The 16424-nt window shown below is 36.9% G+C and overlaps 1 long non-coding RNA gene across 2 annotated transcripts in view; it reads left to right on the top strand.

Annotated features, from left to right (window-relative positions):
* Positions 1 to 12085: 12085 nt before the first annotated feature.
* LOC105372076 (uncharacterized) overlaps positions 12086 to 16424 on the top strand; it is a 38317-nt gene continuing 33978 nt past the window's right edge. For both annotated transcript variants that reach the window (XR_935395.2, XR_935396.3), the window contains exons 1-2: positions 12086 to 12324; positions 15454 to 15682. This is a non-coding gene — a long non-coding RNA (uncharacterized LOC105372076). The remainder of the gene's footprint in view (positions 12325 to 15453; positions 15683 to 16424) is intronic.

Genomic DNA, 16424 nt, shown 5'->3' with positions numbered 1-16424 from the left:
ATTATTGATTTTCTTTTGGTTACATTTAAAAAATATTTCACTGATTTGCACCTTACACTATTATTTACACTCTTTTTCTTTTGGGTTTCATTTGTTGTTATCTAGCTTCTTATGGTACAAGCTGTGGTCATTTATTTGAGAACTTTTATCTTTTCTGAAAAGATGTTTAGTGCTATAAATTCTGATCCTGCATGTATTTAACGATATCCCACAATTTTTTAAATTTATTCTCTTGTTTTTATTCAATCTCAAATATTGTCATAATTCAATTTAGATTTTATGTTGCCCCATGGATTATTTAGAATTGTGTTAGTTTTCAAACATTTTGAGATTTTTCAGAGCCCTGTTACTGATTTCAAATTTAATTCCATTGACAGAAAATTAGATATTTAAAAATATATCAAGATTTATTTTATAGCCCAGAATACAGTCTACATTAGCAGATGTTCTATAAGTAATTTAGAAGAATACATATTTTCCCAGTGGCAAGAGATGTGTTTTATCAATATCAATTATACTGAGGTGATTGATTTCTGTTCAAATTATCTGTATTTTATTAATTTTCTGCCTACCAGTTCTATCATTATTAAAAGAGGAATATTAACATCATCTTGTATAATGTGGACTTATCAATTTCTTCTTTTTTAAATCTGTTTTTGCTTTTTGTGTTTTGACACACTGTTCTGAAGGGCACATTTAATATTGTTATATCCTCCTGATGCATTGAACCCTGTGTCAGAGATGACTTTCATTTCCTCTGATATTACACTTCTGCCTTGGTATCTATTTTCTCCTACGTTAATGTATCCTTTCCAGCTTTCTTTTAATTAGTATTAGCATGGAATTTCTTTTTCTATACATGTTTTGTCATTATATTTACATTATGTTTTTACTATTCTCATCATGATATTTACGTTATTATTTTTGTAGGCAGCATTCATTGAGATTTGCCTTTTAACCAATTTAACAACCTATGCTTTTGAATTGGTGAATTTAGATTATTTACACTTAATGTGATCATTGATATGGTTATTTTAAATCTATCATCTTGTTATTTATTCTTTTTTTTTGTTTTGTTTTAGTTTTTTCCAATACTCCTTTTGCTTTTTCCCTGGCTTCCTTTGGGTTAATGGAGAATTTTTTTTCTTATTTCATTTTCCCTCCTTTGTAGGCTTATTACTAGTAACTTTCAATATTGTCACCTTAGTTGTTGCTTAAGAGTTTACAATATATACTTCTAGCTTATTACAGACTAACTTCAAGTGATAGTATACCACTTCGGGGATAGTACAAGAATCTTAAGCATTAGACTTCCATTTCTCTTTTCTTGGCCTTTGTGCTATTGTTGTCAAACATTTTGCTTTTATATATATTATAAGACACAAACTACATTTTTTATTTAAGCAATAAATTATTTTAAAGACATTTAAATAATAGAAAAAATTACATATTTACCAATACAGGTATTATTTCAGGTGCTCGTTTTTTGTATAAATTTATATTTTCATGTAGTATTTTCTATCTGCTTGAATCACTTTCTTTAAAATGTCTTGTAGTGTGACTCTTCTGATGATGAATCGTTTAAGCTTTTATATATCTGAAAAAAGTCTCTACTTCACTTTTAGTTTTTAAAAGATATTTTTCACACGGTATAGAATTCTAGGTAGTATTTTTGTTTCCTATTTTGATTATTTAATAATTTTACTCCACTGTCTCTTCCTTTGCATTACTTTTAGATGAGATATTTGCTATTTGTTATCATCCTTATCTTAGTTGCTCTGCATGTCTTCTTCGGCTAAAGGATTTATCTTCATTTCTGATTTTCAGCAATTTGACTATGATGTGCTTTGTTACTTTTTTATTCATCTACCTTTTTTAAAAGTAAATTTTAGTATGTATATTTAAGGTATACAACATGATTCTATAAGATATATGTAAATAGTAAAAAGCTACTACAATGAAGTACATTAGCATATCCATCATCTCACATAGTTACCCATTTTTGTGGCAAGAGCAGCTAAAACCTGTTCATTTATCATGACTCCCACATATAGGACAATTTGATTACCTATGGTCTTCATGTGATAGATCTCTAGACTTCTTCATCCTACATTATTTGCTACTTGGTATTCTCTGATCTACATCTTTGTGTTTCTTTTGCTGGAGATTTCTGGAGCTTCTTGAATCTGTATGTATTAATAACTTTTATCAGATCTGGACAATTTTTAGCCATTATTTTTTTCAGTTTTTTTTTCTGTCTCCTCTTTCTCTCTCTCTCCTCTCCTTTGAGGATGCCAATTATACCTATAATAGGATTTCTGCATGTTTAATCTTTTTATGATTAATTTTGGACATCTCCCATTACTGTGTCTTCCAGTTCACTGTATCCTTTATATTTTATAAGATGTCATAAGATCCATACAATAAACTTTTCATCTCAGATATCTAAGTTTTCATCTCTAGAAATTTGTTTTGAACCATTTTATAATATGTTCCATGTCTTTCATTAATTTTTGAAGATAATTATCTTATTGCCCTTTTCCAATGGTTTTTTACATCTGCATCAGTCCTGAGTTGATTTCAGTTATTGATTATTCTCATAATGTATCCTATTTGCACACCCCTTTGAATGCCTAGCAATTTTTTTATTGGCTACCAGATATTGTGAATTATACCTTCTTAGGTACTGGCCACTTTTGTATTTCTATAAATATATTAGAACTTTGTTTTTTGATGTTGTTATGTTACTTGAAAAACTGACTCATCCTTTTATGTCTTGCTTCTGTTTTTCTTAGGTGGGTATGGAGTAGTGCTTCATATAGAGCTAATTATTCTTATTACTGAGGCAAACCCTTATTATTCCCAATGTCTTATGGATAATGAGTGTTTCCAGTAGAGCTGGAAAAAACAGACTATTCCCTCTCCTAGATGAGTGCCAGCCTGTGTTAATTTTTTGGATAGTTATTTCCCTTGTCTCTCCATTTATTTGCTGATCAATATTATGCTGAGTACTTGAGAGTGATTATTTGCAAATCTTCAGGGTTCTCTGTCTGCATACCTCTGTCCTTTTCAGAGTTCTCTCCTATGAGCTCTAGCTCCCTTGGCCTCTCAAGATTCTCAACTCTGTGTGTACAACTCAGGAATTTATCTGCTTTCTGCTTCATCTCCCTCTCCCTGATGTCATCCTCTAAAAATACTCTCTAGGCAATAAGTTTGGGTAAGCATAGTCGTACTTCCTTTATTTTCAATCACTCAGGGATCATTATATTTCATTGCCTTATGTCCAGTGACTTGAAAACAAATTTTTGCACATATCTAGTCCATTTTCTACATTTGTTTGGTTATTTCATGTATTAGGTTAAGTCCAGCCCCTGTTACTCCATCTGCACAGAAGCAGAAGTCCCTGAGGTAAAGTATTATTATTGAGAAAATTATTATGGCTTAAAAATATAAAGATTTTTTAAAGAACATGATAGTAACAAACAAGATGAATAAATAGACATAAAAATAGACACATAAATAGATATAAATTTATTATTTCCAAAATATGCTAATGCATCTAAAGCAACCAGGGGGCAAGAAAAATGGAGAGGAGTAAAGAAGGGCTTTCTGTTGTTTTTTGTTTTTTGTTTTTGTTTTTGTTTTGAGACGGAGTCTCGCTCTTTCGCCCAAGCTGGAGTGCAGTGGCACTATCTCGGCTCACTGCAAGCTCCGCCTCCTGGGTTCACGCCGTTCTCCTGCCTCAGCCTCCCGAGTAGCTGGGACTACAGACGCCCGCCACAGTGCCCGGCTAATTTTTTGTATTTTTAGTAGAGACAGAGTTCCACCGTGTTAGCCGAGACAGGGTTTCACCGTTTTAGCCAGGATGGTCTCGATTTCCCGACCTTGTGATCTACTGCCTCGGCCTCCCAAAGTGCTGGGATTACAGGCGTGAGCCACCGCACCTGGTCGGGTTTTCCGTTTTAAATATTCCTCCATCCTAAGCCTCATTATGTTTGTTATTATCTTTTTTATTCACTAGAACTCATCAAATAATTGTCCTTGACAAAAAAAAAAAATCCACTATATGAAATGGTTTGAAAAGAATTGGCTTTCTTAGTGTAATATTAGCTGCCTTTAATAAACTACCTCTACTTGATTTTGCAGATTTGAGCTGATCACAGATTTCACTTATCCTAAGCACTTGAATTTTTCCAATATATCTGTCTGTTTCAGGCTTCTTTGTGTCTATTTACAATACATCTTTATGTTAGATGTATTCTGCAGGATTTTTGTCTGACTTGCTTCCTTTTCTAATGATACTACTCATTTGACCGCCCTGAAGTTTTCATGATTTATACTGTGACTTTAACTCCCTGTGAGCCATAACAGAACGCATCTCTTCTTCTATGATCTCTGTGTCCTATACCTACTACTTTCATGAAACTTAAACAATGCATTGCTCTTTTATCCTCCTTACAACTCTGTCAGATTTATTATATTATTATATATATTATTATTATATTCCACATATGTGTAGCACATTATGATGCATAAATATTCAACAATATTTTCTTAAATGAATATCAGCACATATGCACAAATTAATAGTACCAAGTGTGTGAGGGTTTGTATGCAGTATAATTTGTCAGACCCAAAGCCATGCTCCATTCTCTTTCCATTTCCATGGGTTCCATTTCTACCTGTAACTATGACCAAACACTGAGGCAACAATAGTGAGGAAGATCCTAACTTCACAGCCTACTCTATGGTTTCTCTTTGTTTGTTTATTATTTGTTTTTATAATGTGTTGATTTGATCTTGGACTCAGAGTTTCAATGGTACCCTGAATCATGTCCTGTCCTTTGAGTTTTAATTTTCTCCTTCTGTGTTAGTACAGAATTCAAGGAAGCATTAATTGATTTTGACAGGTGGTAAAACTGGGTGGGTGGGTCAAGGAGAAAGATTATGCCCTGAGATGAAGGAATGAGGCAACATCACCTTCCAATGCCCTGCACATTTTTGTCTAAGGGTTTTTTTTAAAATCTCAGCCTGCCAGGCAGTTGTAAGTGGTCTCAATTAATCAAGATTTCTGAAGCTAAAATCAATTTCTTTTTTTAAAATTCACATTGATCAAGATTATTTTATTATTACATAGAATGAATTCAGCAAATAGAAACCTATTCACTCACCCAGCACAAGGAAGACTCGAAGTAAGAACAAGGAAAAAGTAATGGAGATATGATTTAACTATGGGAATGCCATCAGTCAGACGTAGGTAGTACCAGTTCACTCACGCTTTCCTATCAGACTGAGGTGCCCTTTCTTTCCTTATTGTGTAAATAAATTCCACCCATCCTTCATGGGCCCTGTCTTCCAGGAAGCCTTCCTTATTGTTGCCTGTTTTCTTCCAAATTACCTTAGCATTTTAGTCTGAAACACTTAGTCTTGTGCTAACTTGCGAATCTTACATCATTGTATAGCACCCTGTCATATACTGTGCTAGCTCTTCTTGGGACAGAATCTTGTGTTTTTCTTCAATAATTTCCACAGTAACTGGCAAAAAATGAAGCATATAGGAAGAGTGTTGCTGAAGACTTTTTAATTACTGCTTTATAGCTTGGTTGATGAGACATGGGCATTTGTGAGCTTTTTTTTTTTTTAGCATTTCTTCCTATACCCATGTTCTCCAGGGGCATGCATATAGAAGCTAGTGAAGGGCACTATGAAAACATATTTTTTCTAACTTTGAGAAATGGGTCAATAATGTCTTAGGGAGATTGTGGAGTGTTTACCCTCACTCTCTTCCCACCAACCAATTCCATGTTTGACATACTGAGCCTCCGAGCATACAGTCAGCCAGTCTTTCAAAACAGCAAGCAATCAAGTTTGCTGTTTGTTAAACTAGTACAAGAGCTTTTATCTTAATCTGAACCATGAGGCAATCAACTATATTTTGAGAAAATAATACACTTAATGACCTCTGATGCCCTTTTAATGTTCTTGAATTTTATTGAGCAATGTATAAGAGAAAGAAAAAAAATCTATCAGAACTGCTGAACAGTTCTATTCACAAGCAAGCTATTTGTTCAGAATATTGAAGCAACAACAACAACAAATGTAGAAGACAACAGGTCACCTAATTGGGGAGAAGAAGTGGGTAAGCAATTCATATCAGGAAATAATTATAGTCCAACATTGTGCTGTAAACGAAAATCACTGTCATTAATAACAGCAATCTAGTTCTAAGGGAAGCTGATCGTTGAAGACAAAGATGTTTGTAGCTAACATTACCTCTCCCTCAGTCATTCTCATGAGGATTTAGGCATGGGCAGTACTCCACATTTAGGGTCAGAAAAATCTATATAAGGTATTCTCTTATGGGAAAATTTCTTTGGTTTATAGACTTTTTTTATTGTTGTTTCTGGATACTGAAGTAAATTGTTCTATGGCTGTATCTGTGTTAAGCTTTTGCTATGGTTTCAATGTGTCTTCTAAAGTTCATGTATTGGGAACTTGATTCTCAATGCAACAGTGCTGAGAGGTGTGGCCTAAAGGGAGATGCTTGGGTCATGGGGACATTGCCTTAAATAGATAGACAATGCCATTTTTATTGTGGGAGTGGGTTTTTAATAAAAGGATGAGTTCGGCCCCTTCTTGCCCTCTTCCTCTTATCTTCTTTTGTCTTTCTACCTTCCACCATGGATTGACACACCAAGAAGGCCCTTACCTTGGACTTCCCAGCTTTCAGAACTTAAGCCAAATACATTTTTTTTATTATAAGTTACCCAATCTGTTGTATTCTGTTATAACATTAAAAAATGAACTAAAACATCACATATGCCATTGTAAAAGGGCCATAGTAGCAAAATTCTGTTTCATGGTCAGCCTACTCTGAGGACTGGTTAACATTTTATGTACAAGTTGACTGCCCAGGTTACACACCTCTGTTCTTACACTGAGTTCCATACTGTTGGCTCTCCCAGGATTGACAGTTATATGCTGAGCCTTGCCCTATTTCCATCACTGCCCCCAGCATTGCAAATTCTGTTATAACACGCTAACATGAGAAGCACAGTGGATGTCTACAAAGAAATGTGAGGTATGAACACCATTTCAAGATTCCCACACATACCTTTTCACAGAAAGACTCATTATACCATGCTTTTCATATCTAAAAATGAGGAAGCCATTTAGCAAGAACATAAACTTTTTAAAGATTTCTTTCAGGTGGTTATGAAGGTTCTGTACCTATCTACCCACATTCTTGTGCTCCCTTGACTTTATGAGGTAATTAACAAATGAGATGTGAACAACACCCTTTACATACTGTTATCTAAATGTCACCTCCTCCAATTGGGGGAGAACATTGCGTATTCTCCCATTCTGTTAACTGAGAGCCTGTCTTGGAGTCATACTTGAACTTTTTTCATTAATATAATTGCTGCCACATCTGGCTCCTGTAAGGCACACTGTGAGGTCTGATGTTGTCAACTCACAGGTCTGGGAAGGAAGACAGGTTACCAAATCAGCCCTGATAGACATGCCAATAAACCAGGCTGCAGTTGGATAAAGAGTAATTAAGGGAAAGGTTCTCTCTTCTTTATGCACCGTGTGCTATTGGATTCAGAAGCTGGTGGCTGGGGAACTGAATGTCTCGTTCATGTCTCAGTGAGTTGGATCTGGGAAATAGTCTCTCACCTCCATCTCATCAGAAGCTGCTTTGCTCCAACCCCCTTGGGGTAGGCAACCAGACTGGAAACAAATTAATGAGGAAACCTCTGTGTCCAGGTGGTAGAGAAAAACTGAAGGATGGGACTGCCAATCTTAAACTTCAATTTTATTTTCCTTTTATCCACTAACCACTCTCACTTAACTTTATCTGTAAATCCTCTTTTGTTTCTCATTTTATTATCTTGTTTTCTACTCTCCAGTTAGTGTTATGTGAAGGTAGAAGAGGTAGTTACTCATATGCTCTAATTTTGTAGTATTAGACAACACCTCTCCCAAATACTATGTCTTAAAAACTGGTGTCCAGTCCCTAAATCTGTTCCTCTCATTAGAAAGTCATTAAGAGGGTTCAATGAACCCTGAAAGAAGATATCATATGACAAAGATAGTTCTGGCTTTAAAAAAACAATAAGAAGTTAGAGAGGCTAATTTTGGTTAAATAGATTCAAGATCTGTCTACAGTTTCAGCTGAACACAAGATGGTGAGTGGTCTAACATGGTCCTTTTATCACAGAATCAGGAAAGATATAGAAGTTTCTCTGAGATACTGCCTTGGTTACTGGAGGCTGGAATGTTGGATGACCTACTGAAGTTCCCAATTCATCTTTCCACTTCAAATGGGGCAGGCTTGAGCATATCTGCCTTAAAACTTCAGCTTCATTTACATTTTCTCCTAATGAAATGATCCCACTGCTAAATACTGTTTCAACATTTTTCCCCTAGTGTTTCTGTGGTACTATGTTCTTATGAAGAGAATGTTTAATAATGTGATGAATATATTCTAGTTGTTACTAAAGCAAAGTCAGTTTTGTAGGATCTCTGCTTGTGGCTTCAATTTTGTTATTGAGGACAAAGGAGGTTAAATTTTTTCATAGCAGAACTATTCTATGCACCCAATTATTTTACCCCTTGACCAAATTCACACTATAAAACAATTTTTTAAACTTGTTCAAGCATTTTGGTAAGTAGAAGAATAAGGTGAAATTGTATTATTTTAAAAATGTATGTTTACATTCCTTGTGCATACTCAACCCTAAAAGAATATTATTTAACTGAGGATAATAAAAAATCTTGGAGAAAACAAAATACTTGAATGGTTTCTGCTATAGTACATTGCTACATCAATTCTACCCACGAATGCCACTAGTTTCAGCTTCTGAATGTCCTAGCCACCCTGGAGAGCCCAACACTGGACATGCTACCAAGCGTTTAACACCTGTTTAATGAATGCATATTGGTGGAATGGATAAATGATGCTGCTGAGTCTCTGCTTGTGGGTCCTGATGGGATACTCTGTGGATGCACAGAGGGTCAGCAACGTCACTTTTTCTCATCTAGATCTCTGTTCCCAGCAATGACCTCTTTGAGAAAGACTGGTTTCAAAAATAACCTTCCATAAACACTAATAATATTGTGGTAAACCACAGCAGTACTAGTCACATGGATATCTATTGTATTATTTTTTGAAACACGCATATCATTATGTAAACTTTTTTGTGAGAATGACATATCTCATACACACACACATACACATACACATTGACACTCTGTACTTCTGAAAAGAGAAATGAATTGGCATATAGTGGACAGTCTAGGTCCAGTTTGTATTAAGTGGAGACTAGAATGTTATCTCAAAGATAATGAGCAAGAAGTTTCTTGCATGAAACTTGGAATTTTGTTTGGACATCATGGGCAGTCATTGGTACAAGGCGAAAATAAGAACACTGGGGGCCCTGACATGAATATTCTGCTACGAGCGTTTTCTACTTATCTCCTTGTGAGACTCATGGAAGTTCCTGCTGAAAGAAAAATATTTGTTTCAAGTACACTTCTCCAGTTCTAGTTTCTGTATTCATACCTTTTATTGTTCTGTTCCAGCAATTCTGAATTTTCTCTTCTCCCAGATCATAGTATTTTCCCTCTTGCTTCTCTGCCTTTGGACGTGAAATTTCCTCTTTTGGGGATTCTTTTCCCAATCTGTTTACCTAGCAAAATCTTGCTAGTCCAGAAGCGAGTCCTAATGTCACTTATGGAGAGCCTCCCCTGACTTCCCATGTAACTTCACATCTGCCCTTTCCAGCTTCCACTGCAGCACTCATCCCATGGACCATCATGCAGTCAAATGCCATATACCACCTCTCCCTCTTCATGAGATTGCCAATTTCTCAAGGGTGAAGCTCAGGATCTTCTCATTGTGCCGCCATAGTGACTAGTCCCATATAGCACCTTACTCAAAGTAGATGGCCAATATATGTTCACAGAAAAGAGGAACCAAAGAAAGGGGAAAAAATTAAAAATATGAAAGGGGAAAAATGAAGAGAGAAAGAGAAAGGAAATTTTCACAGAAGAATCCATTTAGCTGCTGCCATTATGGTGTAAGTGAGTCATGCAAATACATATTTCTACATACGTCAGAGAGCTGTGGAGCTATTTCAGATGTTCAGGAAAGTGAAGAGAGAAGTCCAGGATATGAGGAATTGTCAGAGAGAAGGATCCTGAGTGACTAGGAACAACCTGATTGAGAGTGGGGGTGTGACAGGTTTATAAATGTCAAAAATGAGAGTGGAACATTGGAAAGCAAGGCTGAAGTGGAAAGGACAACTCCTCCTGCACAGTGCTGTTCAGGGCCACCCCATGTTGTAGAGAATGTGGCAACATAGCCCTGCATCACCTCGGCTCCCTCAAATCCCACATCTAATTTAACGTGGGATAAAAGTCATCTAATGTCAGCGGAAGCATGGAGAATAGGAGAGAGGAGAGAAATGTCTATAACTGGTGAAGGCTTTTCCCAACCTGTTTACCTGGCAAAATCCTGCTATTCCAGGAGCCAGTCCAAATGTCACTTCTGGAGAGCCTCCCCTGTTGTTTTGATACACACAAGTGCTAACCTGAAGAATTTTAAGAACAATATTTAAGTGTAAGTTCAGGGCTATTAGTGTAATTAAACTGATATCAGAGGCACCTGTTGCAGGCATGTAAGAATGGAGTTTTGTCAAAGGCCCAGAGAGAAGGACCCACACCAAAGCACATAAAGACGCCCTCATACAAGTGGCCCTACCAGCCTCCTTATACCTAAAACTGCTGTAAGAAATGTACCTGCTTCTGTCTTATAACACTGAGAGAGTAAAAACGCTAACAAATAGAGGGAAAAAAGCATGGTGCCCAAGATTCATACTCATGTGTGAAAGACTGAATGTCGGTCACATACCTTTATAGATCCAGAAGTTGGTTCTAAGCCCTGTGCTCCAGGTGCGGGAAAAGGTACATGACTGAGGAAGGAGAGCAACTAGAATCCAGAGGCCGAGAGCATCAAAGTCAAGTACCACTAACTCAGCAATGCTGCTGGTCACTCACTGTGTGTCTATGCAGGGCTGGGGTGAGATGATAATTGTGGCATAGTAGAAGCTGGAATGATCTCTGTGTCTAAAATTCTTCTTTGAACAGTTAGGGAAACTAAGGTTGAATAGGAACATGGGATTCTTTACTCTAACCATACTTGGTTAATGACCCCTACAGCTAGATTTCTTATTTTTTGACTCCTAGTCCATTGCTCTTTGCTTTAATCATGATTTCTTCCATAGTAGTATCCATGACCTGAAATTGAACCTTGGGTGATAAAAATAAAAATTAGGAGGATTCTAATTTTTATTGTAGTTTTCTTCATTTCAAACTTAAGAAAAAACAATATAAAACAAAAATATATCCCGTGAGGTTATATGAGATACAAATAATAAACTGCAATTTAAAAAAATGTACAATTGCCTTTTAATCTGTAGCCTACAGCAAGTGGGAAAATGCAAGGGAAAAATTGACACAAGAATCAACTGGAATTGAAAGAAGTTTCCATTTGTCTTTTCAGTGTTTTATTATTTCTGGGTCAAGTTGCATGATTTGGAAGTCTCCCTGCTTTCCTAGCAAGGGGCCCTGCTGTTTATGTAAGTTAATCCTTTAAAAGCTTTATTTTCTTTTTCCTAGGAAGTATGGATAGGTAGAGGCAGAAAGAAGGGTCTTAAAAGCATGACCTATTCCTTGGAGATCTGCAAAGAGTATCAGATTATCTTCATTCAACACATAACACAGGCCTTGGAGACCTACATTTGCAGGTGGTAGAACCAAGTGAAAAACCTAATCAGAAATCAATTCTACAAACAGGAGGAGATGTTCCTTTTTGTCTGACTCAATTACGTGGGAAGGAAGAGACAGTGTGAGAATGGGCTGGGGATAATATATCAGTAGAGATTAAGACATTAATACCCACAATCCTTTGGGTCACATGATTTTTCTTTTTGAGTTCTCAAATGTAGAAAAATGAAACTTTGAACCAAGAAGACTTTTAGAAGCAGTCTAAACCAAGATCTTTAATTAACAGAAAAATCAGAAGCCCAGTCAAGTGAACTACCAATGAAATAAACAGCACACAATCGGTTGATGCATAGAAATAGTGTTTGCCTCAATGAACTGATCTGGACTCAAGCCCTTTAAAAGAGACAACCTGAGGCTGCTCTGGATCTGCTATAGAGCAAATAAAGTTTTATCTCCATGTTATTATTACTAGTTCCACTTCGAGCAGAAACAAAGAAAATCTGTTTATAAATGTCTCCAGTTATGTTGAAGGTTGGTAAAAACTAAATTCTCAACTTCTTATATTAATCAAACAATTCTATTAACATATTGATTGCTTTTGTAAACATTATCATGAACCTGCAGTAGCCAATGCTATATTTAAAATGTTTCCCAGCTCAGAAGAACCTGAGTTAGAGATATTTCTTTCAGAGGGAACAATTACTCATTATATCTAATGAGGATTCTGAGTATCTTCTTTGCCACTGGACAAAGGGAGAGAGATTCTCGAAGTAAAAAATTCTGGGTTAGGTGACAAAAACTTGGCCATCCTTGGCCATAGAGAAAAGAGCAGCCATTGGCGCAAACTATTCAATGCTTTCTAGGTTCCAAATGGAATGGTAAATGGGGTATATTTGAAGCATTAGGAGTTCTTCCAATAGCAATGTGCTCCCTTTCCTTACTTTGGTCTGTCATGGACATGGTTTCTGCCAAACTAAATCAAATAAAAAGAAGGTCGTGAACATACTTTTTAAATGCTAAATTTTTGATCAAATATTAATTATTTCAGGTTTTAAAAAGAAGTGAAATGAATGTACCCCTTAGGGGTCTGGATTTAATGTTAAGGAAATCTGAAGGTGCAGTATCTCACAACTGCTAGCCACCATGGCCTTCAGAGGACAACCTGTAATTATATCACTTCACCAGGAGATTAATTAAAAATGAGGACTGCCATCGAGTGTCTAACACTATCAATTGTGTACAAATTACTGCAGTATTTACTGTATATTAATTGGTTTGTAGAACATGAATGCATAGCTTTTAATATAAATAGTGCACAATATGGCCAGGTGCCGTGGCTCACATCTGTAATCTCAGCACTTTGGGAGGCCAAGGCAGGTGGATCACTTGAGGTCAGGAGTTCGAAACCAGCCTGACCAACATGGTGAAACCCTCTCTCTACTAAAAAAAATACAAAAATTAGCTGGACATGGTGGTGGATGCCTGTAATCCCACCTACTCGGGAGGCTGAGGCAGGAGAATCACTTGAACCCGGGAGGCAGAGGTTGCAGTGAGACAAGATCATGCCACTGCCCTCCAGCCTGGGCAACAGACTGGGACTCCATCACAGAAAAATAATAATAATAATAATAATAATAATAATAATAATGCACAATATGGAAGCGTATCTTTAGTTCACATATACCCTTTATAATTACTTCTCTCTGAAAACTACATCTGACTCTGATCATGTAATGAGAACACAACACAACATTCACGAGTGATAGCAGAGTTTAATAAGCCCTATGAAAACAGACCAGCAAAACCACCTGAAAGATCACTATGATCTTGGCACTATAAAATTTGTTGTGGAGGAGAAACATAAGAAAAAATCAGGATCTCTGCCCCAAGTCTAATACTACAAAGCAGCTTAAAATAAAATGAAATAATTCCAATACCAGTTCTACCATGATTCAGAGAAAAGAAAGTTGAGATAATAAGAAGTTACTCTGGAGAGGAGACATAAAATATGGAGTAGAAATTAATTCTTGAAATCTGGATACAGAGTTTCTCTGAGCTAGAGGAAAAGTCAGAGAAAAGTTTTTTTAGCAGAGGGAATATTTTGAGTAGAGCAAGAAAGAGAGAGGGAGGAGGAGCCAATGATATTGGAGGAGAGTGAGTTAAGAAGTTTGCTGGAGCAGAGAGTAGATAAAATGGAGACAGTCCATAAAAAGCTTTTGCCTACCACAGGTCTTAAGTTCGGTTCTCCAGGAAACAGGCTCTGAGATGGAAACTCGTGCACAATTTAGGTAGTTCTCTTGAGAACACCTGTGACAGTATGAAAGAAGCTGAATAAGTGAAAGCTGGTTGATGGTCTCTCCTTGTGGTTGTTTTTTTTAATTATTATTATTTTTCTTTTTCTTTCAGACAGAGTCTCACTCACTCTGTTGCCCAGGCTGGAGTGAAGTGGTGCCATCTTGGCTCACTGCAACCTCCGTTGACCTGGTTCAAGCGACTCTTTTGCCTCAGTCCCATGAGTAGCTGGGAATACAGGCGCCTGCCACCACACCTAGCTAATATTTTTGTAATTTTAGTGGAGACAGGGTTTCACCATGTTGGCCAGGCTGGTCTTGAACTCTTGACCTCAGGTGGTCCACCTGCCTCAGCCTCCCAAAGTTCTGGGATTACAGGCATGAGCCACATGCCCAGCCTCTCATTTGTTGTTAATCATTCAAATGTTAAACTATACTTATTGGCAGAGGGTATTTTATATTTGTTTTCGATAAAGTCTTCAAATGAATCAATAGTGGGCCACACACACACACACACAAATATCTAAATAAAAATAAATAAACTGCAAAGTTTTACCAGGAGAAACAAGTTCTGTCCCCTTATAGGAGGCAGGAGAAAAATATTTTGTTCATTATAAAAATATCTCAAATTCCAGTTTTCTTTAAATGTTCATGCAGAGATAAAAAAATGCATTTTCAAAATGCCCATCTTAAAAAAAAATTTAAAAACATCCTTCACTGCACCAAGTCATAACGAGGCATACCCAGCAAATGCTGCACAGTTAATGTTGCTCATGGACCCCCATGGAGCGGAAGGATTTTACTAGAACTGTATGAAGTGCCTTGAAATTAATTTTCCTATAATAGAAACTACTTAAAAGAATTATCTTGCTGTGCAGCAAATCAGTTCATGTGTCAGATTTATGCTTTCATCTGGAATTTTCTTAAAGGGGGCAAAGGCAACAAAGAGATGGTTTGGATGAACTTAAAATCAGAGTCTACCCAAGCCCCAAGCTTTGTTCTTGGGTTTAAAAGACTTCAGAAATGTTGAGACCTAAAGAAATGCAAGACTGTTTTGGATAATTTCAAGCTAATGGAACTTCTAATATACACCATTATCTTAGAGATGAAGGTACTGAGGCTGTAGGAAGGAGACAGAGAGTTGGTCAGTGGTGAACAACACACACACTTACACAAATGGACACACACATACACACAGCCACACACCTATCTGTTGAGGTGTACATAGACATGTCTCTTGTCTAGGGATTTTTCTCAATTAATTATACAGTTTATCATCTGTATTAGTGTGGCAGGGCTAGGCTTTAGGACAATAACAAACCAACTCAAACTTAACACACTAAAAGTTCACTTCTCATTTGCTTCACAGGTAGATGCAATTTGGAGGGCCTCTCTGAGTGGTCCCACTACCCCCAGATACTGACTCAGAGAACCAGCATGAGGTTCTACCATCTCAAAGACCCATGCTTCCGGTAGTACTGATGGAGGAAAGAGAAACCAAATAGAGTGGGGAGATCAAGCAGCATGTTTTATGACCACAATGGGAAATGATGTCCATTCCTTCTGCCATTTGCTAGAACTAGTCACAAGGTGCTAAAGTAAGTACACGTGATACCATGAAATAGAGTTTTATATTTTTTCCAGGAAGAAGGAAAAGGATTGCTGAGCATCCAGTCAGTCCCTGCAACAGAATGAAATTCATTACTCCTCCACCTGACATCAATAGCATTATCCACACCTTACACTGGATTCTACACTCTGTTTCACCCTATGGGAGATTCTAAAGATATGGGTGGGGGGGGGGGGAAGGATCAACTTTCCAGAAGAAATTTACATTCTAGTGGTGCATAGAGGGAATATGCTATAACGGAGATAACAGTCACATTCATCAAAAAATCTGAATAATCAATTCAGAGAAATATATGAGCAGGAACATGGGAGCATGGCTGTGACTGCGGTGAGGGAACAGTATGGTAAAAGATGATAGGAGAGTGGAATAAAGGATGAGCAACAGAGGATGTAAAGATAGAGGCAGATTCCAAGCAAGCATATCAAAGCAACAATAACACAGGTTGTGAGGGTGTGGTATGTTTCTATGCCTAGCAAGAACAGACAACAGATATACTCAGATCCTACTAAATTGTCCTTTTCCATTCTTCTTATTTTTTTTTTTTTTGACAAATATTTTTGGACCCCTTCCTGACCTGAAGAATGGAGCAGGAATTAGTTCATCAACAGCAAATTTTGGAGAAGTCTCTAGACTAATGCTCTCAGTAGTCCCCTGAAAGGTATCATTGTCTCCTTCTTTAGAGCCAAGATGAGCTCTAGGATGATTAACTT

The sequence above is a fragment of the Homo sapiens genome, chromosome 18 (assembly GCF_000001405.40).
Source record: "Homo sapiens chromosome 18, GRCh38.p14 Primary Assembly".
Classification (NCBI taxonomy): Eukaryota; Metazoa; Chordata; class Mammalia; order Primates; family Hominidae; genus Homo; species Homo sapiens.
This window is presented reverse-complemented; position numbering and strand designations above follow the sequence as displayed.